This window comes from Homo sapiens, chromosome 2 (assembly GCF_000001405.40).
Source record: "Homo sapiens chromosome 2, GRCh38.p14 Primary Assembly".
Taxonomy (NCBI): Eukaryota; Metazoa; Chordata; class Mammalia; order Primates; family Hominidae; genus Homo; species Homo sapiens.
Window position 1 is genome coordinate 151,901,456 of NC_000002.12, and position 25,347 is coordinate 151,926,802.

The 25,347-nt window shown below is 41.0% G+C and overlaps 1 protein-coding gene across 22 annotated transcripts in view, besides 2 other annotated features; it reads right to left on the minus strand.

The window, feature by feature from the left end:
* Nucleotides 1–25,347, minus strand: part of CACNB4 (calcium voltage-gated channel auxiliary subunit beta 4) — a 266,397-nt gene that overhangs the window by 68,685 nt on the left and 172,365 nt on the right. The window lies entirely within an intron of this gene.
* Nucleotides 12,245–12,448: a silencer, noted in NCBI's record as "fragment chr2:152770214-152770417 (GRCh37/hg19 assembly coordinates)". NCBI's record gives its function as "represses an EF-1alpha promoter that drives an FKBP-Casp9 reporter gene in an ReSE screen in K562 erythroleukemia cells {active_cell/tissue: K562}" and the evidence as "EXISTENCE:reporter gene assay evidence [ECO:0000049][PMID:32094911]".
* Nucleotides 13,392–13,893: an enhancer, noted in NCBI's record as "H3K4me1 hESC enhancer chr2:152771361-152771862 (GRCh37/hg19 assembly coordinates)". NCBI's record gives its function as "activates a minimal SCP1, AML or CMV promoter by ChIP-STARR-seq in naive H9 embryonic stem cells {active_cell/tissue: H9 hESC(naive)}" and the evidence as "EXISTENCE:reporter gene assay evidence [ECO:0000049][PMID:30033119]".

Below are 25,347 nucleotides of genomic sequence, written 5' to 3' on the forward strand. Positions count from 1 at the left end.
GAAATCATTAGTAACCTTAATATTTTGTGGAAAGGTTCTTCACCAATTTTAGCTATGCAGGTCCAAGACAATACAATACCATCTACAATACTACAAAATTACAATTAGAAAAAAAACAAAACAAACAAACAAAAAAAACCTCCTTACTAGAAAAGATCACGAAGGAGTTTTTAAAAATGTGCATTCCGTTTTGAAAATTGCTATTGAAATGTGGTCTGGTGCTTGTTCCAGAAGTTATTTATAACCAAAGAACATAAAAATTGACAATGATGGGCAAGCACAATGCCTCCCTGGGTAGAGGTTGAGGCTTATATTGAGAATGAGAATTTGAAAAACAAGCCTTTCCCATTTTAAGCAATCATTGTTTTACCAAAGAATTCCAGAGAACTTGGTTTTACTGCAAATTCTATTACTTCATTACAAAATTGGAATACAATGGAATCTATCACCTTGCAGAACAAACTGCCAGAAAAATAAGTCTTTTTGAGTTATTGTCAAAGAAGGACAGTCCTTGTGAGAATAAGTAGATGCAGCTGAAGTTGGCAACGTTCTCCCTAGTGGGTAACACAACATCACCTTTTTTTTTTTTTTTTTTTTTTGACAAGATCTTGCTCTGTCACCCAGGCTGGAGAGCAGTGGCACGATCATAGTTCATTGCAGCTTTGACCTCCCTGGCTCAAGTGATCCTCTCACCTAAACTTTTCAAGCTGGGATCACAGGCGCACGCCACCATGTATGACTAACTTATTATTTTTTGTAGAGACAGGGTCTCCCTATGTGGCTGAGGCTGGTCTCAAACTCCTGGACTCAAGTGATCCTCCCCATTCAGCATCCCAAAGTATGGGGATTACAGGAATGAGCCAGTGCACTCAGACTTCACCCATCTTTTGATGGAATGCCTGCATGAGAACTCTATAGCAAAATGCCTTGTACATGAAAGACACTGGAAGCACTTTATTAACCCACTGGCAAAGTCCCCTAGCGAAAATGTTCCTCAAAACATGGAAGGCTGAGTCTACTTATACCTAAACAACTAAATGAAAAAGGGCTCTTCACGATTATTAGAATTTTTCATTATGGATAATAAAAATTAAATCATATCTGTCTTGACATATTCTCTATGAACAATGAGGAGCCTATGATTAATTATATTTTGGTTTTTACATCAGCCACCAGGAAGATCAGAGCTCAGTTCTAGCTTTCTTCTTGGTATAAGATTTTCTGTCTTAATTTATATTTTCTCTGATCTTGATATTTTGCTGGTTACTAACTTTTTTGTGGCTTCATATAGTCTTCTAAGCTGCCTGAAAAACTTGTGGAATGAGTTGAGGATAGAAATTAAAAAAAAAAAATCCACCTAGTTTTCATCAAATTGTACCCTATTGTGTGCAATGAATGAAAATTTCCTCCATTATACAGATGTCTATACAGAATTCTTTTGAACCCTGGGTTGCTACTATCGGGTTAAAATAATTGCTAATAGTTTCTGTTTTCAGACAGGAAGTTTTCAATCTCTCTCGAAGGATTGCTCGCCAATTTCTCCTAGCAATTTGGAAGTTTCCAGATAAGAAATTAAGTACTTTACTGTGCTATGTGTCAGCCTAGCTCTGCTCTTGAATGCTGAGTTTGTGATTCATTTGGTATGTTTGTATATTTACTAAGATTAGGTATAAATATGTATTAATACTAAATCTACTCAAAATCTTTGTTCTGACTACCTTTTATTTCATCAACATTAAGCTAGAACAAAAATAAGAAAATATTCATTTACTTTGAGGCCGGGCATGGTGGCTCACACCTGTAATCCCAGCACTTTGGGGGGCTGAGGCGGGTGGATAACTGGAGGGCTGGAGTTCCAGACCAGCTTGGCCAACACAGCAAAACCGCATCTCTACTAAAAATCCAAAAAAAAAATTAGCCGGATGTGGTGGTGCACGCCTGTAATCCCAGCTACACAGGAGGCTAAAGCAGGAGAATCACTTGAACCCAAGAGGTGGAGGCTGCAGTGAGCCAAGACTGCGCCACAGCACTCCAGCCTGAGCAGCAGAGAGAGATTGTCTTAAAAAAAAAATTCATTTACTTTGAAAAGAAGAATAAAACCGGGAATGACACTATTAAAGTGACATTTGAAATTGTCCCTGTCAATCTCCAGGCCCATCTTTTATCTTTCTCCTCCCACATGCTCTGGCCAATAACATGCTTCTCACACTTTTCCAAACATATCTCATCCACACTGTGTGGCACATAGTAGGCACCCAGGTAAAATACTTGTTGTATAAGGTAGGTACATACTCTGAAAGCTCCCTGCTCTTGCACAGGAGACTGACTCTTATTTAAAAAGCCCCTTTTCTCCTTGCCCATCTGGCAAACTCCATTTCATCCATCCGTTGTGTTACAACTGTACGTGTGGCTATTTTACCTTTCTGACAATAACTCCTCAAGGGCAGGTAGTGTATCTTTTTCATCTTTGTGTCCCCATTGTGGGCTTGGCATATAGTAGGTGTATAATAAGTATGTATAGGAAAGAAGGGAGGGAAGAAGGGCAAAAAAAGAAGGATGGGACTCATATTTCTTTGCATTCATCCTAAAAAATGTATGGCATTTTCCTAGACACTCAGAGTTGCGTTCAATAGAGAAAAAAACGCTTGCCTCCAATTTTTCAAAACCACCGCTGCAAAAGCAGATTGAATTTTGTGTTTCACTGAATCCATCCATTCATGATTAATTGGGTAGTTAAGCACTTCTAGTTACATGTGCAGCTGGGAATTCCTCCAGCTGTCATTAATTTTACTAAAGATTCAAATCCTCACTATTTATCTGCTGAAATGGAGCCATTATTATTCCTCGGCCAATCACAATCAAGTAAATAACTGTCCTGTTATTGAGTGACAATTGAGTAATTTACAAAAGCTACAAGTATGCTAACTCCAGTTGCCCTGTTGGTTACTATCATAATAAATGCCATGTTATTCAACTTCCTATTTTATTCCACTAACCAGGTGGGAAAAAAATCCAGATATACACCATAAATTAGTGAACCCTAACATACTCAACATAAAGACAGTAACAATTAGAGATAACTCTTTTTTTTTTTTTTTTGAGACGGAGTCTCACTGTTGCCCAGGCTAGAGTGCAGTGGTGCGACCTCAGCTCACTGCAACCTCTACCTCCTGGGTTCAAGCAATTCTCCTGCCTCAGCCTCTCAAGTAGCTGGGACTACAGGCACATACCACCACACCCAGCTAATTTATGTATTTTTAGTAGAGACGGGGTTTCACCATGTTGGCCAGGCTGGTCTCAAACTCCTGACCTCAGGTGATCTGCCTGCCTTGGCCTCCCAAAGTGCTGGGATTACAGGCAGGAGTTACCGCGCCCAGCTGAGACATCTTTTAAGAACTGAATTTGAAATAAATACAGTCCATTTATTTGGCTTCCAGGATTACTTAGCTGTGTGGTAAGAGAGGAACTACACTTGAAAACTATGCACTATTGGGCAGTGAAACATTCTGAAATGTAATGCATAGTTTTTCAAAAAGAAGAACTAGAATGCTATCATTTCCCCTCATCGCCTGCAATCAAATAACAAAGTGAGAACAAGGTCCAGCTCATTTTGGCTGTCAGCCTCTCAGCATGGTTCAAGTGCGTGCCAGGATACTGTACTCTTAAATGTAGCCCAGGCCTGCAGATGAACCTAAAATATTAAACCCATTTCCCAAAGAAGGAGAAAACAGAAAGTTCAGCCACTATGCCTAGGATGCCTATAATAATCATTTTCTACCCCCAACCTGGAGTTCTCTCCAGCCCATTGCTTGCTACTCATTGCCATTTCATTTACTAACATATTGTATTATCAATTTACAGTTTCTCACATCGTACAGATAATGCAAAATACATATTGCTTCCCCCTAAAACACATCTTCCCGATGTGCACTCATCTTTCGAACTAAAAATCCAATTCTCTCTGCAGCAGAAGACAACGATTCATAAACTTAAGAACGAGATAATTTGATTGTCAAAACCAAGTGTTTGCAAGTCTTGAGTAGAAAGAAGCTTTGCTCTCTTTAATTCAGAGACCTACAAAAATAATATGATAGAATAGCCACAAATGTATTTTGTACCTGGCAATATAAAGTAGGGATCAGGTTCCGTTTATTTACTCTTTCAAGTATCAGTTGCTTTAGATCAGAGAAAGGTCTTTAGCTAACAAATGGTTATTCTTCACAACTCAAGAAAACATGACATGTAAGGCCCAGCAAGGGAAAGATGACCAGCGAGCTTGACAGCTAAAGAGATCAACCAGAAAGGCAAGGCAAGAAGGGCTAGATTTCAATAAATATTCACTGACAAGAAATGGGAATGTGTCATTTACTGTCTAAAACAATTTCATAATTAAACTTTTCACAAAACTGAAAGAATTCTCCACTTCGTCTATCAAGTTCATATTCAACTCAATGGGAGTAAACCCTGATACAGCCAGATTACCTTTAAGTAAAAAGAGTGTTTAGTCAAAACTCTAAGTTAGCTAGAGTTCCTTCTAGCTCTGTATAAGCAGCTACCTCATCCTGTCTTTCTATACATGAGCACATGCATGCACACACATCACGCTATCCTCTTCCTACTCAGTAGCCTCCAGGAACTGCAATGAAACCAGAATGTAAAACTTGACATTTTTCTCCAAAAAGTTGAGGGACGCTACATCAACAGAAATTACTCAGTTGAATTTTTATTCTTAGCTCCAATTCAAGCATGATCAACAGTGTGACAGCATTTAAAAGAAGCATCTCACCAACCCCTTTAAATAAGAACTTCTCATGTTTCATCACATGAGTTTTCAAAAATAGAAAGCAGTTGAAGCCACTGGTTGCCCTATGAGTAAAAGCAAAACATTTCTTTTGCAGGGGGTGAAAATCACTGTCTTATGCATTATTTGTAAGTAGCAATCATTGAGCATTAGTACCTATATAAACTTTAAAAATAAACCACTGTTCCCCACTGCTAGGGAAGAGGGTAAGAGCCTAAGAGCAGTTACTCTATCTATGAAGCCACTAACTTCCTTCATGGCAAGAATAGCTCCTTTGGGGTTAGCCATATTTTCAGAAAATGCCTGAGCCACTGTAACTGATGGAGAATAAAGGTGAGATGAAACTCTCTGGTCTTTATCTTTTGCTGTCCTACTTTCATCTGCTTATGATTTAAAGGGTGAAACTACAGTCTTGTCCAGCAACAGAAGGCCTTTCTAATTCTGATGGCCCTAAGTCAGGCTCTTGTCTTTTGTCCAGCTTCATCTCCCTCCACATCCTATCAGTCTTCCCTCATGCTATGCTGAAAAGCTTGTCACTCCCTAGCTCCCTGAACACATCATGTAGATTGCTACCCTGACGTGTCTCTTTGGTACATTCATCCTAACTCCTACTCATCCTGAAGGCGGAGGCATGTCACCTTTAGGATGTTTTTTCTGATAACCTTTTTCAGGCTTGCTTAGTTCCCATTAAAATTACTGTGTACATTTGTTATCATTGCACTTACATTATTCAGCAGTTATCTCTATATGTTTATTCCCCACTAGCTTGTGTACTCTGAGGTGAAAACCACATTTTATCCATCTCTTTTTTTTTTCCTTGAGTTAAACTCAGTACCTAGTTTTATAAATGTTTACTGAATGAGAAAACATGGAAATGAGTAAATAACTTACAGGTAATCAGAGAACAGAGGTAGGGAAAACAGAACAAGCAAGGACCCTAATATATGTTCAGGTATTTTCATTTAGGGACCTAGATCAGCTAGCTATAGACTTAACCATTCTTTTCTGCATACAAAAGCTTTAGTTTATGTTCATATTTTTTCCTGAATCAGGTCCTTAATATACTAACCAGTAAAGAAATAGAGGTGAATAACCCAAATTACTGGAAAGAAAAAATATAGGCTATCTTTTAAAATAATCTTATTTTGGAATAATTTTAGATTTACAGAAAAGTTGCAAAGATAGTACAGAGTTCCCATATACCCTTCACCCAGTTTCCCCTAATGTTAACACCTTACATAACCAAGGTGCATTTGTCATAAATAAGAAAGTAACACTGGCACGTTATTATTAATAAAACGCCAGTCTTTATCAGATTTCACTGGTTTTCTACTAATGTCCTTTTTCTGTTCCAGGAGCATTGCAATTCAGAATACCATATTGTATTTAGTGTGTGTTTTTTAAAATCAAATATTGACTTGATTTTGAATAAGAAAAACAGCTTCAAAAAGTGATTAAACATCTTGGCCATTCTTCCTGTTTTCTTTCTCTGACATGTGATGGATAGGCCGGCCCTCCTTTCCTGGTCTCAGCCAGGAAGAGCACAGCAAGGAAAGTCCTCTTCACTGGCTGTCATAGCTGTTCCCTCATGTGGGCTGAGAATATTTCAATCAGGTCAGCACACAGTTTCTAAAGAAAAGAAACTGAGGTAGAGTAGAGATCATTGCAAAGATAACAACCAGGAATAAAAAGCATCCTGAGTTGGTGTTTCAAAAGGGTCACAGGAGGATTGAAAGTTCTCAAATATTCTCCAAGAGGCTTTTGTCCTGAAGCCTAGCTTGCTGCCACGGATTAGAAAAAAAGAGCTGCAGGAGGAGACCGTGAGGATGGTAAGAGTCTCTGCTGCTGTCAAAGCCCAGTCAGAGAGGCAGGGCCCAGGGAAAAGGAACAAAGACGCCAGGAGGGAGTCTGATTGCAGCCAAAGAACCTGTTAAGGTGCACAGGCATTAAAAACAGAAAATAAGGAGATCATTTGCTGCTAATTTCTGTGTTCCCGGGCTTTATAAGATAGACAGTGGTATATTTAGGGAGAGGTGGTAAACTAAGCACTTTGGAAAGTTTGAAAGCAGACACCATGCAGAGACTATTCTGAAGGCAAAGAAAAGCTGACCATTTTGCTTGATGATAAAGAGAGGATTTTATTCCAGTTAGAACAGTCACTTAAGGCCAATCAGGGTACCTGAACAGGTGCTGTGAGTGTAGGCTGTTAGCTAAGGTACCTTCCTGGCATTGTCAACCCTGCTTGGTTTTAGGAATCTGCAACTCAAAGAAAAGTGAAGAAGATCCTGAAGGAAGCATGGGGGAAGCTGCAGATGATGAAAGAGTTATGAAAGTCATGGCAAAAAATCTGGACCAACTCATCTGTAGATAAAAAGCCAAGGGAAGACTTTAGATAACATACTTTAAGAATTTGAAAGGCTCAAACTCAAGGGCTGGCAGACAGCCATTTCGCAGTGAGGGCAGAGTGAAAGAAAACATGCCTTGCTGCAGCTTGAGAGATTTAAGTCAGACATAGGAATACATTTTCTGACTAAGACAGTAAAGGTTATCAGGCACAGGACTAGGTTTCTGAAGCAGGTTATCAAATCCCATGCCCTAAGTGTTTTCTCAAATTCCCTTCATTTGGGGCATATTTAAATGGAAGTAAGCTGGTATTTTAGATATTTCCGCATTTTCTTTGAGGTGCAAAGGTGACAAAGGATTTAATTTTTTTTTAAAGAAAGGGAACAGGTGTTATGCTTGAAAAATATTAATTGGATAAATTTAGAAAGAAAAAAAAACTTTAGGTAAGTTTTTACCATTGACTATCCCTGAATCCTATCTATATATAAATATATTTATAAATATATATATTTATATATATATAATTTCTTCTTTAAAAAAGAGGGGGCTGGTGGGCACAGTGGCTCACGCCTGTATTCCCAGCACTTTGGGAGGCCAAGGGTAGGCGGATCACCTGAGGTCAGGAGTTCAAGACCAGCCTGGCCAACGTGGTGAAACCCTGTCTCTATTAAAAATACAAAAAAAAATCAGCGGGGCATGGTGGCGGGCACCTGTAATCCCAGTTACTCGGGAGGCTGAGGCAGGGAGAATTGCTTGAACCCGGGAGGTGGAAGTTGCAGTGAGCCGAGATCATGCCACTGCACTCCAGCCTGGGCGACACAGCGAGACTCCATCTCAGGGAGGAAAAAAACAAAAAAAAAAAACAAAAAATGGGATACAAGTGCAGATTATGCAGGTTCGTTACACAGGTATATGTGTGCCATGGTGGTTTGCTGCACCTACTGACCCACCCTCTAAGATCCCTCCCCTCACTCCCCAACCCCCAGCAGGCCCTGTGTGTGTTGTTCCCGTTCCCCCTTCTGTGTCCATGTGTTCTCAATGTTCAACTCCCACTTGTGAGTGCAAACGTGGTGTTTGGTTTTCGTTCTTGTGTTAGTTTGCTGAGGATGATGGCTTCTAGCTTCAAGGATATGATCTCATTCCTTTTTATGGCTGCATAGTATCCCATGGTGGATACGTACCACATTTTCTTTTATCCAGTCTATGATTGATGGGCATTTGGGTTGGTTCCATGTCTTTGCTATTGTAAATCGTGCTGCAATAAACATACATGTGCATGTGTCTTTATAGTAGAATGATTTATTTTGGGGGGTATATCAAATGGTATTTCTGGTTCTAGATCCTTGAGGAATCGCCATACTGTCTTCCACAATGGTTGAACTAATTTACATTCCCACCAACAGTGTAAAAGCGTTCCTATTTCTCCACAGCCTCGCCAGCATCTGTTGTTTCCTAACTTTTTAATAATTGCCATTCTGACTGGCATGAGATGGTATCTCACTGTGGTTTTGATTTGCATCTCTCTGATGATCAGTGATGTTGTGTTTTTTTTCATATGTTTGTTGGCCGCATAAATGTCCTTTTGAGAAGTGTCTGTTCCTATCCTTTGCCCACTTTTTCGTGGGGTTTTTCTTGTAAATATGTTTAAGTTCCTTGTAAATTCTGGACATTAGACCTTTGTCACATGGGTAGATTGCAACAATTTTCTCCCATTCTGTAGGTTGCCTGTTCACTCTCATGATAGTTTCTTTTGTTGTGCAGAAGCTCTTTAATTACCTATGCCTATGTCCTGAATGGAACTGCCTAGGTTTTCTTCTAGGGTTTTTATGGTTTTGGGTTTTACATTTATGTCTTTAATCCATCTTGAGTTAATTTTTGTGTAAGGCATAAGGAAGGGGTCCAGTGTCAGTTTTCTGCATATGGCTAGCTAGTTTTCCCAGCACCACTTACTGAATAGGAGATCCTTTCCCCATTGCTTGTTTTTGTCAGGTTTGTTGAAGATCAGATGGTTGTAGATGTGTGGTGTTATTTCTGAGGTTCTTGCCCCATTAGTCTATACGTCTGTTTTGGTACCAGTACCATGCTGTTTTGGTTATTGTAGCCTTGTAGTATAGTTTGAAGTCAGGTAGCATGATGCCTCCAGCTTTGTTCTTTTTGCTTAAGATTGTCTTGGCTATATGGGGTCTTCTTTGATTCCATATGAAATTTAAAATAGTTTTTTTCTAATTCTGTGATGAATGTCAATGGTAGTTTGATGGGACTAGCATTGAATCTATAAATTACTTTGGACAGTATGGCCATTTTCACAATATTGATTCTTCCTATCCATGAGGATGGAATGTTTTTCCATTTGTTTGTGTTCTGTCTTATTTCCTTAAGCAGTAGTTTGTAGTTCTCCTTGAAAAGGTTCTTCACATCCCTTGTCAGCTGTATTCCTAGGTAGGTATTTTATTCTCTTTGCAGTGATTGTGAATGGGAGTTCATTCATGATTTGGCTCTGCTTGCCTGCTGTTGGTGTAAAGGAATGCTTGTGATTTTTGCACATTGATTTTGTGTCCCAAGACTTTGCTGAAGTTGCTTATCAGTTTAAGGAGTTTTGGGACTGAGGTGATGGGGTTTCCTACATATTAAATCATGCCATCTGTGAACAGACACAACTTGACTTCCCCTCTTCCTATTTGAATACCCTTTCTTTCTTTCTCTTGCCTGATTGCCCTGGCCAGAACTTCAAATACTATGTTGGATAAGAGTGGTAGGAGGGGGCATCCTTGTCTTGTACCAGTTTTCAAAGGGAATACTTCCAGCTTTTGTTCATTCAGTGTGATATTGGCTGCGGGTTTGTTATAAATAGCTCTTATTATTTTGAGATGTGTTCTATCAATGACTTGCGTATGTTGAACCAGCCTTGCATCCCAGGAATGAAGCCGTCTTGATCATGGTGGATAAGTTTTTTGATGTGCTGCTGGATTCAGTTTGCCAGTATTTTATTGAGGATTTTCACACTGATGTTCATCAGGGATATTGGCCTGAAGTCTTCTTTTTTTTGTTATACCTCTTCCTGGTTTTGGTATCAGGATAATGCTGGCTTCATAAAATGAGTTAGGGAAGAGTCCCTCTTTTTCAGTTGTTTGGAATAGTTTCAGAAGAAATGGTACCAGCTCCTCCTTGTATTTCTAGTAGAATTCAGCTGTGAATCCGTCTGGTCCTGGGCTTTTTTTGGTAGGCTATTAATTACCCAATTTCAGAGCTTATTATTGGTCTATTCAGGGATTTGACCTCTTCCTGGTTTAATCTCGGTAGGGTGTATGTGTCCAGGAATTCATCCATTTCTTCTAGATTTTCTAGTTTATTTTTGCATAGATGTGTTTTTAGTATTCTCTGATGGTAATTTGTATTTCTTGGGGTCAGTGGGGATATCCCCTTTATCATTTTTTATTGTGTCTATTTGATTCTTCTCTCTTTTCTTCTTCTTTATTAGTCTAGCTAGCAATCTATTTGTTAATTTTTTCAAAAAAACAGCTCCTGGATTCGGTGATTTTTTGGAGTGTTTTTGTGCCTCTATCTCCGTCAACTCTTCTCTGATCTTAGTTATTTCTTGTCTTCTACTAGCTTTTGGATTAGCTTGCTCTTGCCTCTCTAGCTCTTTTAATTGTGATGTTAGGGTGTTGATGTGAGATCTTTCTAGCTTTCTGATGTGGGCATTTAGTGCTATACATTTCTGTCTTAACGCTGCTTTAGCTGTGTCCCAGAGATTCTGGTACGTTGTCTCTTTGTTCTCATTGGTTTCAAAGAACTTCTTGATTTCTGCCTTAATTTCATTATTTACCCAGGAGTCATTCAGGAGCAGGTTGCTCAATTTCCATGTAATTGTGTGGTTTTGAGTGAGTTTCTTAATCCTGAGTTCTAATTTGATTGCACTGTGGTCTGAGAGACTGTTTCTTATGATTTCAGTTCTTTTGCATTTGCTGAAGTGTTTTACTTCCAATTATGTGGTCAATTTTAGAATAAATGCCAGGTGGCACTGAGAAGAATATATATTCTGTTGATTTGGAGTAGAGAGTTCTGTAGATGTCTACTAGGTCCACTTGATCCAGAGCTGAGTTCAAGTCCTGAATATCCTTGTTAATTTTCTGTCTCGTTGATCTGTCTAATAATACTGACAGTGGGGTGTTAAAGTCTCCCACTATTATTGTGTGGGAGTCTAAGCCTCTTTGTAGGTCTCTAAGAACTTGTTTTATGAATCTGGGTGCTCCTGTACTGGGTGCATATATATTTAGAATAGTTAGCTCTTCTTGTTGAATTGTTCCCTTTACCATTATGTAATGTCCTTCTTTGTCTTTTTTGATCTTTGTTGGTTTAAAGTCTGTTTTGTCAGAGACTAGAATTGCAACCCCTGCTTTTTTTTTCTTTCCATTTGATTGGTAAATTTTTCTCCATCCTTTTATTTTGAGCTTTACATGTCTTTGCATGTAAGATGGATCTCCTGAATACAGCACACCAATGGGTCTTGACTTTATCCAATTTGCCACACTGTGTCTTTTAATTGGGGCATTTAGCCCATTTACACTTAAGGTTAGTATTGCTATGTGTGAATCTGATCCTGTCATCATGATGCTATTTGGTTATTTTGCACAATAGTTGATGCAGTTTCTTCATAATGTCATTGGTCTTTATATTTTGGTGTGTTTTTGCAGTGCCTGGTACTGGTTTTTCCTTTCCATATTTAGTGCTTCTCTCAGGAACTCTTACAGGGCAGGACTGGGGGTAACAAAACCCCTCAGCATTTGCTTGTCTGAGAAGGATTTTATTTCTCCTTCACTTATGAACCTTAGTTTGGCTGGATATGAAATTCTGGGTTGAAAATTCTTTTAAGAATATTGAATAGGCCAGGTGTGGTGGCTCACGCCTGTAATCCCAGGACTTTGGGAGGCAGAGGAGGGTGGATCATGAGGTCAGGAGATCGAGACCATCCTGGCTGACATGGTGAAAACCCATCTCTACTAAAAAATGCAAAAAAATCGCCAGGGGTGGTGATGGGTATCTGTAGTCCCAGCTACTCAGGAGGCTGAGGCAGGCGAATGGCATGAACCCAGGAGGCGGAGCTTGCAGTGAGCCGAGATCACGCCACTGCACTCCAGCCTGGGCGACAGAGCGAGACTCCATCTCAAAAAAAAAAAAAAAAAGAGAATATTGAATATTGGCCTCCAGTCTCTTCTGGCTTGTAGAGTTTCTGCTGAGAGATCCATGTTAGTCTGATGGGCTTCCCTTTGCAGGTGACCTGGCCTTACTCTCTGGCTGCCCTTAACAGTTTTTCCTTCATTTCAACCTTGGAGAATCTGATGATTATGTGTCTTGGGGTTGATCTTCTCATGGAGTATCTTAATGATGTTCTCTGTATTTCCTGAATTTGCACGTTGGCCTGTCTTGCTAGGTTGGGGAAGTTCTCCTGGATAATAACCTGAAGTGTGTTTTCCAGCTTGTTTCCATTCTCTCCATCTCCTTCTGGTATCCCAATCAATTGTAAGTTTGGTCTTTTTACGAATTCCCATATTTCTTGGAGGCTTTGTTCATTCCTTTTCATTCTCTCTATTCTTGTCTGCATGTCTTATTTCAGTAAGGTGGTTTTCAAATTCTGATATCCTTTTTTCTGCTTGGTCGATTCAGCTATTGATACTTGTGTATGCTTCACCAAGTTCTCGTGCTGTGTTTTTCAGCTCCATTAGGTAATTTATGTTCCTCTAAACTGGTTATCCTAGTTAGCAGTTCCTCTTACCTTTTATCAAGGTTCTTAGCTTCTTTGCATTGGGTTAGAACATGCTCCTTTAGCTCAGTGTAGTTTTTTATTACCCATCTTCTGAAGCCTACTTCTGTCAATTCATCCATCTGACCCTCTGTCCAGTTCTGTGCCCTTGACAGAGAGATGGTGCAATCATTTGGAAGAGAAGAGGCACTCTTGCCTTTTGGGTTTTCAGCATTTTTCATTGATTCTTTCTCATCTTTGTGAGTTTGTCTAGTCTCAGTCTTTGAGGCTGCTGACCCTTGGATGGGTTTTTTGTGGGGGCCTTTTGTTGTTGTTGATGATGCATTGTTGTGGCTTTCTGCTTGTTTGTTTTTCTTTCAATAGTCAGGTCCCTCTTCTGCAGGGCTGCTGCAGTTTGCGGGGGTTCACTTCAGGCCCTATTCATCTGATTCACTCCAGTGCCTGGAGATGTCACTCAAGGAGGCTGGAGAACAGCAAAGATGGATGCCTGGTCCTTCTTCTGGGACCTCTGACCTCAAGAGGCACCAACCTGATGCCAGCAGGATCCCTCCTGTATAGGGTGTCTGACAACCCCTGTTGGAGGGTGTCACCCAGTTGAGTGGCACGGGGAGCAGGACCCATTTAACAAAGCACTTTGTCCCTTGGTGGAGGGGGTGTGCTTTGCTGGGGGAAACCCACTCATCTGGGCTACCCAGATTCCTCAGAACTACCAAGAGGAGAGGCTAAGTTTGCTGGTCCACAGAGACTGCGGCCACACCTCCCCCTAGAGGCTCAGGCCCAGGGACATCCAGATTCTGTCCCTAAGCCTCTGGCTGAAGTTATTGGAGTTCCTGCAGGGAAGCCTCACCCAATGAGTAAGGATGGGTCAGGGTCAGGCCTGAAGGGACACTGGCCACAAACTAACACAGCCGGTCTGTTGGGCTGTGGGGACAAGTCTTGGGACCAAGCTGTCCAGCCTCCCTGGCTCCAGCAGGGAAAAAGTACAGCCTGGACGTATAGAAATGGGTGCCGCCCTTCCCCCGCCCAGGGAGCTCAGCGTGTTAGGCAGTGCGAATCCCAGTGCAGGCTGCTGTCCCTCCCGCAAGGAGCTCAAACAGCTGAGACAGCAGGCAGCCACAGTGGGTGCTGGCTGCCCCTCCCCTGCGGGGGTTCTGTAGGCTTAAGCTGACTCCAGCTGAGAGGCTGTAAGAATGTGCTCGTGGCCAGGCACAGTGGCTCATGCATATAGTCCCAGCACTTTGGGAGGCCGAGGCGGGTGGATTGCCTGAGGTCAGGAGCTCGAGACCAGCCTGGCCAACATAGTGAAACCACATCTCTACTAAAAAATACAAAAAAAATCAGCTGGGCATGGTGGCAGGTGCCTGTAATCCTAGCTACTCAGGAAACTGAGGCAGGAGAATTGCTTGAACCTGGGAGGCAGAGGTTGCAGTGAGCTGAGATTGCGCCATAGCACTCCAGCTTGGGCAACAAGAGCGAAGCTCCATCTCAAAAAAAAAAAAAAAAAAAAAAGAATGTGCACATTCTGGGGTTGGGACGCTAGGCCCTGGTGGGTGGCTTGGGTTCGTGAGTGGAAAAGCACAGTTTTCTCTGGGGGGATAGTGCGCTCACTCACCACCTCCCTTGGCTGGGGGGAGGGGGTTCCCCTGCCCCGTGTGGCTCTCAGCTGGGCTGCGGTACTACACTGTTCTTCCTTCTCTCCGTGGGTCACGCCAGCCCTCTAGTCAACTTTGATGAGAGAACCTGGATACCTGGTTGCCAGTGAAGGATTCACACGCTTATTATGGGTTTTTTCCATGGGAGCCTCCAAAAGCCGCTGCTTCTAGTCAGCCATCTTGGCCCCACCCCTATTCCTGGATCCTTTCTTAAGGTTTTTCAGGCCTCTTTAAATGATTATATTCTCTTATCTCCTTTTTTATGCATAAAATTAGAGACTTATGGTCCTCTTGTGTGTGATTTCCTGATAAAACCCCTCTCTTTGTTATAGAGAAAACAAATAAATACATGAGATATCAAAAAAGATATAAATTGAACCAGTTTACTCTGTATTTACATAAACACTTGGAAGAATGAAAGTGCTTGAGGCATAAAATTATTCATGCCTATTTTAAAAGGTTTCCATTTATGAAAAAAAAAGAGAATGTCATAGTGGAATAAAGTATCACCAGTTTTAAAATAGTCGACTGAAAAATGTTAAATCTTATCTTGATTACAAATTGTTGAAGGGAAGGAATTATGCATATTTATATTGATATAAGGACTGTGAAGTACTTGATCACCCACATAGAAAGCCAAAATATTGAAACTACGTACAATACCTGACTGCAGAGCCACAAGAGGAAACATCAGACTACTATTCTGGTGCAAAGCAAAGCTTTTTAAACTATGGGTTTAGAACAGTGGTTCCCAGCTGGAGGCAATTTTATTCCCCCAAGGGACATTTCACAATGTCCAGAGACATTTTTCATTCTCACAATTGGGAGGAGGAGTTGGTACTGACATCTGGTGGGCAGAAGCCAGGAAAGGTACGAAACACCCTGCAATGCACAGGACAGGTCTCCCCAACCAATCATTATCTAGTCGGAAATGTCAGCGGTGCCAAAGTTCAGACACTCTGGTATAAAACCACTAGGTCTCCTTAATATGCGGTTTGCTTTTTCAAAATTAAATGGATATATTTAGAAACATGTTTGTGTTTTTCTCATTAACAAGAAACTATTTACCAACCAAACAAATATAGCTTTCCTTTAAAACAAATGCTTCAATAAGAAGGCAGCTAGGATGTGGGGGTATTAATACAATGTTAAACAATATGTATAAACTGAGTTTGGGTCATATGCCCCTTGAATATCATATCCCTGCTATGAAAGACTGAAATCATAATGGATAAAAAGATGACTGCCAATTTGGAAGGCACCGGGAAAACTCAAGCAAAACCTGTTTGGCTCTTAGTATAATCCCTATATAAGACAGGTTCTGGAGTATAAGGAATAGAAAACAAACACCTGGAAGGACTCTTCCCAAGGTGAGCTCGGGTCTAGACATGTGGGTTAATAAAGCGTACTGCCACACAGGATTGTGGACTAAGTAAGGCAATCCACATAAAGAGCTCCGCACAGGGCAGACCCAGTAAATGTTTAAAAATATATTTGCTACAGTGAGGATGATGATGAATACCAGATATACACAAGATTTCTGGCCAGGTGCAGTGGCTCATGCCTGTAATCTCAGCACTTTGGGAGGCTGAGGCAGGTGGATCACCTGAGGTCAGGAGTTCGAGACCAGCCTGGCCAACATGGTGAAACCCCATCTCTACTAAAAATACAAAATTAGCAAGGCATGGTGGCAGGTGCCTGTAATCCCAACTACTTGGGAGGCTGAGGCAGGAGAATTGCTTGAACCCAGGAGGTGGAAGTGCAGTGAGCTGAGATTGCACCACTGCACTCCAGCCTAGGCGACAAAGTGAGACACTGTCTCAAAAAAAAAAAAAAAAAAGAACATTTCTGAAATGAACACTGTAGTTTACCCCTAAACTTCTCCTTCCATATGCTTTGGCTATGCACTACTAGAAAGGCATTAAAGAGAAAGTTGGCTGGAAACCCCAATGCACTGACAACTAAAGGAGGTCTTTTATCTTAACTCCCCCTCTCAATATGGCAGAAACAAATGTTTTGAAACAAAAGTGAAAAAGGCTGGGGGGGAAAAGGGTGCTACTGAGTTCCACATTAAGATACAACAGCCACCCTCAACCATATGTACTGGTTTGTTATCTGCCAAAATATGTAGTTGGCCATTATGAAGGCATTGCCCATGCTTTCAAGTTGCCACAAAGCATATATTAATATTTATTTTTTATTACAGTAGTCATTCAGCATTGATTGAAGTCTATTATATCATTTGCTCAGTCAACAAGTACGTACTAAGCATTCAACTACAGGTAGGACACCATGGGAGTTGCAAAGATCTATACAATTTTGTCTTTCCTCCCAAATTGCTTACAATCAGGTAAAGAGAACAGTTAACCTGTGGTTAGCAAGAGACAAATCTGGGTGGCTCCGGAGACTCATTTCCTTCCCTCTTTTGCTAGCTTAGCAGAAAGCTGGCTCAGCTAAACAAATGAACAAAAAAATAGGCTGATACCAACCACTGGGCTCCAGGGGCTTTCCTTCTCCAATAAGGGCACTTCCCTGATCAGAGAGCCTCCACTGTTACACAAGCACATAGATGCTCCCTGCCTACTGACCCTATAAATAGTAGAGCTTTATCTACCAGAGCTGTGGCTATGGTGCATACAGATATCCATGCCTAGCCTAGGATGCAGGTTGAGAGTTCAAGGGATTGTGTGCGTACTGCTACATGGCTGCTTATGAATTCTCCTCCAAATCAAACCTATATCTGCATTGTGTAGCATTAGCACTGCATGCAAGCAACCCCTCGCACATAGGCAGAACTGACAAAGGCAGCACATCCAGAGATGCAAATATCATGTTCACCATATCAACATTCCGACTTCATACAGATTTTATAAAATTTTAAATGTTTCCATTTGTATAGTACAAATTTGGATAATCATTCACTGAAAGCCTTCCTAAATCAAAAGGTATGTAGGAGGGCTGAATGAATCCCTGTTCTCTGAAGTTCCGTAATATATGGAAGGTGTGATTTCGCCTAGAGCCAACCACAGGGGTAAGTTCTCTTTAGGGGTGAGCCTTGAACCTTGACCAGGGTAGCCTCAGGAGGGGTGTTTCAAAGGAGAGATCATGTTCAGTTCTACATTGATCTGGGGCCATACTAAGTTAGGCCTTCTGGGAATTCTCTCTAACAGTCCAGGTTTTGCCAAAGAGGGATGGCATGAGGATTGTCTTCTCTTTTTACTTTTCTTTTCTTTGAGTGAGACAAGGTCTCACTCATTCATCCAGGCTGGAGTACTGTGGCACAGTCATAGCTCACTGCAGCCTCACACTCCTGGGCTCAAGTGATCCTCCTGCCTTGGCCTCCCAAAGTGTTGGGATTAGAGATGTTAGCCACCGCGCCCAGCCTGTATGAGGATTCTGAGGACAAAACATGCTTTCCAAGCTACAGGCAGGCTTATATCCCTCATTACAGCCATCACCAGCCATGCTGTCACCTCCAGGGTGAGATTGAGGCAAGAGAGGTCTAAGATGCAAAATGTAACAGGGCACTCCTACCTCACTCTTAAGGGGGCACTCCCCCTCAGGGTCCTGCAAGTACAGGGATGGCTTGTGATAGTCCAGAGAGAGAGCGCCTCCTCAAATGTCTACTTAGGCTCCTCACTGCCTCGCCATACTCCCAGCCCTGTTTACCTCTCCTTTTTTGCCTCCCTCCTACCTTGACGCCCCCCTTAATTTGTACATCATTCCTCCATGTACACTTTTAATAACCAGGATCTAGCCATGCCAAAAGAAATCATTAAGACTGGATCCACCTTAAAAGAGGTATGACTTAAGTGCAAGTTTGGAAAACAAACAAACAAACAACAACAACAACAACAAAACCTGAATTATTTCCTCACACAAAAACTAGAATATATCTTGGAAAGTTCAGACGAGACTCACTTCCTAAATAGCTCATTTTTCTTCCTGTCCATGACAACCACAAAAGCCAACTATAAAGCCATTTGGCAATGGTTGTGATTTCCAAGTTAAATGCCTTGCAATTAGCTCCTCCTATATGTTTGTTAATCCTATTATGGCAACCTAATAAGTGTCACACCAATTTAGAAATTATTAGGTGTCAGAATGTGTTTTTCCTTTGTAAATAGAAATAGAACAATTTCTATTTCTATTGTAATAGGAATAGAACAATTTCTATTTCTATTGTAATAGGAATAGAACAATTTCTATTTCTATTGTAATAGGAATAGAACAATAGTAAAATGATTTCATTTTATGTTTATTTTTTACTTTACCAGTCTAGAGTCTTTTCTTCTTCTTCTTCTTCTTTTTTTTTTTTTTTTTTTTTGAGACAGGTTCTTGCTCTGTTGTCCACAACGGAGGTACAGTGGCACAATGTTGGCTCACTGCAGCCTCGACCTCTTGGGCTCAAGTGATCCTTCCGCCTCAGCCTCTTGAGTAGCTGGGACTACAGGCACGTGCCACCACACCTGGTTAATTTTTGTATCTCATTTATTTATTTATTTGTAGAGACAGGCTCTTGCTATGTTTCCCTGGCTAGTCCTGGCCTCAAGCAATCCTCCCACCTTGTCCTCCCAAAGTGCTGGGGTTACAGGCATGAGCACTATGCCAGGCCCAGTCTAGAGTCTTTGTAGTAACCTCAGCATGTATCAGTCTATTGTACTTTGTAATTTGGTTCCCTCTTTACCAAAGAAGAATTTCCATCTAAACATGCAACCATATTTTGTGATCAGGATCATAATTGACAAGTAAGACAGTGTTAAGTGGCAAGGTCATAATGTATCTTCAGGATTTTGAGAGCTGCCTTAGAATCCTTAGCTTTTGCCATCTTAAAACTTACTTGAGGCCAGGCACGGTGACTCACGCCTGTAATCCTAGCACTTTGGGAGGCCAAGGCGGACGGATCACGAGGTCAGGAGATCAAGACCATCCTGGCTAACACAGTGAAACCCCGTCTCTACTAAAAATACAAAAAGAAATTAGCTGGGCATGGTGGTGGGCACCTGTAGTCCCAGCTACTTGGGAGACGCAGGAGAATGGCGTGAACCCGGGAGGTGGAGCCTGCAGTGAGCCAAGATCGTGCCACTGCACTCCAGCCTGAGCAACAGAGCAAGACTCCGTCTCAAAAATAAATAAATAAATAAATAAATAAATAAATAAATAAATAAATAAGTTAAAAAAAAACACCTTACTTGATTGGTTTAGGAATTTGAGAGCTTCACAAACATTATCCCATGAAAACAAGGCATAGTTTCATCATCTAAAAAATGATGACAGCTGCAAATGCCAAATAATGAATATCAAATGGTGAATCTTGGTTTAAAACAACATGAACGACAGCAGATGAGCCACACTAATCTAGTCATGCCTCACTGACCTTTCTTCATCTAAGAGTTTATTACTTACCTATTGCTGCTGTAAGAATGACCACAAACTTAATGGCTTAAGCCAACACAAGTTTAATATTTTGTAGTTCTGGATGTCAGAAGTCCAAAATGTATCTCACTGGCCTAAAATCAAGGTGTCAGCAGGACTGTGTTCCTTCTGGAGGCTCTAAGGGAGGATCTGTTTCCTGGCCTTTTCCAGCTTCTAAAGCCAGCCACCTCCCTTGGCTCATAGGCCCCTTCCTCCATATTTGATATGGTTTGGCTCTGTTTCCCTACCCAAATTTCATGTTGAATTGTTATTCCCAGTGTTGGGGGAGGGTTCTGGTGGAGGGCGATTGGATTATGGGGCTGATTTTTCCCTTGCTGTTCTTGTGATAGTGAGTTCTCACGAGATCTGGTTATTTAAAAGTGTGTGGCACTTCGCCCTTTTCTCTCTCTCTCCTGCTCCACCACGGTTAAGATGTGCCTGCCTCCCCTTCCCCTTCGCCTTCCGCCATGATTCTAAGTTTCCTGAGGCCTCCCAGCCATGCTTCCTGTACAGCCTTCAGAACTGTGAGTCAAACCTCTTTTCTTCATAAACTACCCAGTCTCAGGTAGTTCTTTATAGCAGTGTGAGAATGGACTAATACAATATTCAAAAAAGTAATGTCAGACTGAGTCATCCTCACAATGCCATCTCTCTTGTTCTCTCTCTTCTGCCTCCCTCTTCCACTCACAAGAACCCAAGTGATTACATAAGACTCACTGGGATAATCCTGTACAATCTCCCCATCTCAAGGTCAACTGATAAGTAAATTTACCTTTTTATTTATTTTATTTTTGAGATGGGGGTCTCCCTCTATTGCCTAGGTTAGAGTCAATGACATGATCATAGCTCATTGCAGCCTCATCCTCCTGGGCTCAAGGGATCTTCTCACCTCTGCATCCTAAGTAACTGGGACTATAGGCGTGTGCTGCCTTGGCTGGCTAATTTTATAATTTTTTGTAGGGATGGAGTCTTGCTGTGTTGCCCAGGCTGGTCTTGAACTCCTGGCCTCAAGCAATCCTGCTGGCTCCACCTCCCAAAGTGCTGGGATTAAAAGCGTGAACTATGATACCCAGTTAATAAGCAACTTTAACTCCCATTTCTCATGAAACCCAACATATTCACAGATTCCAGGGATTAGTATGTGGACATCTTTGGGCAGCCATTGTTCTGCCCAGCATGAGGAGTTTAGATGAAATTTGCCCTGTGTGAGGCAGGGGCTTATATGATTCATGACATTTCCAGTATCAGATCTTTGGCATGTATAGTCTGAAGTTTTCTGACAATCAGAACTTTCCAAAAGATATTTACCAAGACAGTTGCAGTTTGTGGACTCCAGCAGCTGGTAAAACTCACAAATCCTGTTTTCATTCTAATATTTTTTAGACCTTTTGAATTTTGCAAGTCAGTTTCATAAAACATTGAGTTGATTCCTAAAAGATCAAATGTAGTCAATACTGAGCGTTTGTTGATTTTGCCTACTGCAAAAGAACCTCAAGTTGGAATCTCTCTACATTCATATTTGTGAGTCTATGAGGATTGCCAGCTTGTCTTAAGGAACTGTGCTCACTCCCTGCCCAGTTGTGCAATACCCAGAACTCTGAAGAAACAGCAAGGCTGGGCTCATTGCGGACTTGTCTGAATGGGTGTGAGGCAACAGGTGGAACCATGGTGAAATGGAGAGCACATGAAAGTATTTCAGGTAAGCATTATTTTAAGAAATAATAACAACTATGCTCAACCAAACAAAAGCAACTGCAAGTCAGAGTTAGCCTCCAGACTATGTGGTGGCTCCTCCTCCTAGCTATTGCTTCTATTCTGAAACTGGGTCCAACACCTAAACTCCAGAGGACTCCACTACTTTGCTTTTAGACCTCACCTCATTTGCCCTCTCAGTTGCATAGGGCAGGGTGTCCTTAAAGACTCTGCCATCCCATCTTGGTCTTTATTTATGTGCTGGATCTCTCACCTGCTAGCTTGGCTTTCAACACATTGCTGTCTAGACTTGAACTTCCATGCTTTGCTCCCCAGTCTTGGCAGCAGGCCCATGACCCCGTGTAGCCCCTTGCTGAGCACATGACTTGCTGTTATAGAAACTAGGTGCAGGGAGCTGGAGGAAGCCTGGGTGGAGGCCCGGATGGCATCTAGCTGACATTCCATTCTTCAAGTACAAAATATCAGTCTTGGCCAGATAATTTCAGACTGGCCTACAGAATTCTAATGGGAAACGTTTTTGCTAAGCATCAGCCAATAAAAGCTCATTTACAAAATGCAAGAAGAACCATAAGACTAAGGAAACTTGGATTCTATTCCTAACCCTCTTGCAGATTGGCTGGGTAACCCTAGGAAAGTTCCTCACCTCTAAAAATTGATCTGTTTCCTCACGACTAAAATGTGGAAGACTGGGAAATTGTTTCCTGATTTCATGGACCCAACACTAAGTAAAGTAAAATTAAAGCAAGGTAATACTTTCACATACTCAGGCAGTATAATTCGGTAATTTCTAGTAATTCTCCATGAGTTTCCATCTCATCTCCATTCAGAGGGACTGGTTTTTTAATGTGACTCTATGATACATTATATACCTACATAGATACATGCATTTATACATGCATACATACATACGTGCGTGTAATCTATTCTGAAATCTTTTTTTTTTTTTTTTTTTTTTTGAGACAGAGTCTCGCTCTGTCGCCCAGGCTGGAGTGCAGTGGCGCAATCTCGGCTCACTGCTAGCTCCACCTCCCGGGTTCATGCCATTCTCCTGCCTCAACCTCCCGAGTAGCTGGGACTACAGGCGCCCACTACCACTCCCGGCTAATTATTTGTATTTTTAGTAGAGATGGGGTTTCACCGTGTTAGCCAGGATGGTCTTGATCTCCTGACCTCGTGATCTGCCCGCCTCGCCCTCCCAAAGTGTATTCTGAAATCTCTTAAAGTAGATTATAGAAAATTGATTCTGAAATCTCTTACATTGCAGCTATTACTACTATACAATATAATTTATATTGCCACTATATAATATAATTTGTATTATATACATATAATAATATATGGAGGGATCTTCTTACCTCTGCATACTGAGTAGCTGGGACTACAGGTGTGTGCCATCATGGCTGCTATAGTATATATATATAATTACATCATATAATATGTATATATTACACCACCACAGAGAAAAGTTGTAATATGATGAAGGTGAATTACTTATATTAGGAATCCCTAAGAAGCATTCTCAATCCCTGGATGAATAAGAGAAGTTCTGGAATATATTTACCTTAGAAAGTTTTAGGAAGTTTCAGAACAGATTCCACTTTCTGGAATGCCAGACTGGCATTTTTTCAACACAGGGTGTTTATAACACATATGATATCTGTTTTTCATCCTTAGAATTCCAAGCCAACTCCTTTTTGTAACACGGTTGAGGTGTGGTAAGGATAGGTACCCTTTACACATTGTGACAATGATTCTATCGTTTTTTTCAAGGAATCCCACGCAATGCTTCCGGATGAAACTTTCTGACCTATTTAAACAGAGCTGATAATTCCATTTTTATCACCTCTATTATGATATGGATCATATTTGTATTGTACTCAGCTGTTTATTCCTCTGCCTCTCCCACTTATCTGTGATCTCTTTAAGAATATCCATTGGATTTTATTCTTCTTTGTATCCCCAGCACCCAGTGGAGTACCTGGCACATAAAAGCCATTAAACAGTGGTTAGTGAACAAATGACTTAATTAATTGTTAAGGAAAGTTACCTGCACTCTAAGCTACTTGAAGCATTTCTATTATTTTCTGATTTTATAACAGAGAATGAGCAGTAGAAGAATACAGCTATTAGCTAACACATTTTGTATTATTTGGTAGTCACATATCAGAAATAATTCCTTTATATTTGGAGGATGTACGTCCCAATTTCATTTGTACATGTGAAACAATTTCTGAACGTCCTTTAAAAGTAAGGTCCTAAAGTTGAAGTACCATGCTTTTGAAACTGTCTTTCTATGGGTACCAAACCTACAGAGCTGCATTTAAAATCCTATCAAGTTAATGTTTTTGCTGCTGAATGAATTCCATAAGTCACTTATAGGAAAACATCTATCATTTTGGAATCATGTACATTAGCAATCCCTGGTACCTGGAAGAATTTTCAATTTTGTTTGGCAACTGTGCATATTTCTTCTGAATTCAAAGGAGTAGGGTGGATAGGTTGTTTGTAGGATTTGCAAACATCCAAATATAGGGATAGAAAAGAGGAGCAGGGAGGGGGTGGGGAGGGTGGGGAGGCTAGGGTGAAATTCCAGGGAAAGGGCCTTAGAGGCTGGTGTAGGGGGCAACAGCAAGGTGGTGGAGAAGGGTAACATTCAGAATATACTGTGAAGACAGAACTGACAGGACTTGCTGATGGATTGGATGCAGGATGTGAGAAGGAGAGTTAAACCTGAATCCAAGGTGTTTGACCCAAGCAACTAGAAGAATCGACATACCACTTGCTGGGATGTGAAAGACCACAGGAAAAGCAGGTGAACCCAGATCTGGACATGATTAATTTGTTTGCCTATTAAACAACCAAATGGAGGTATTGAGTAGGCAGTTGGAATTCAGGAGATAGGTTAGGACCAAAGTTATAATTTTGGGAGGAATGTTAGAATACATTGAATATTTTAAAGCCTCAAGGATGGATGAGATAAATGAAAGAATGTATATAGGCAGAAAGAGAAGACATTGAAGGACTGAGTGCTGGGTCTCCAAAATCTAGCAGTCAGAAGATGAGGAATCAGTATAGGTATCTGAGAACTAGTTGCCAAAAAAGCCAGAGGAAAACCAAGAGAGTGTGTATCCTTGAAGACAAGTGAAGAAAAGTAAAGAAGAATGATCAGTTTTCTCAAATACTGCTCATAAGGCAAGCAAATCATGGGCCACAGCAATATGGAAGTCATTGGCAACCCTGACAAGAACAGTTTCACTAGATTATGGGGGCAAAAGCCTGATCAGAGCAGACTCAATAAAGGGTGAAGAGAAGTAGAAGGCAGGGAATAGAAAAACTCTGAAATGGAATTTTGCTATAAAAAGCAGAGTCTCTAAAATGAGGGTCCCCAAAGAATCTATGGATAGAATTCAGAGAGCTCAGGGATTTTGATGGAAAAAAAATTACATCTGTATTTTGACTCCTCCCTAATGCAGCATTTTCTTCAACTAATAATATAATAGCAGCATCTGTTACTTCATAGCCTATAGAAATTGTGGATATTTTCATATTACATTATAGTTGTTACATATATCTCAAAACATCATGCTCATTACTATTTCAAATTTACAGTAATTACTGTACCCATCACTAGGTCTCATGTGACTGTGCTCTTCTGCTCTACA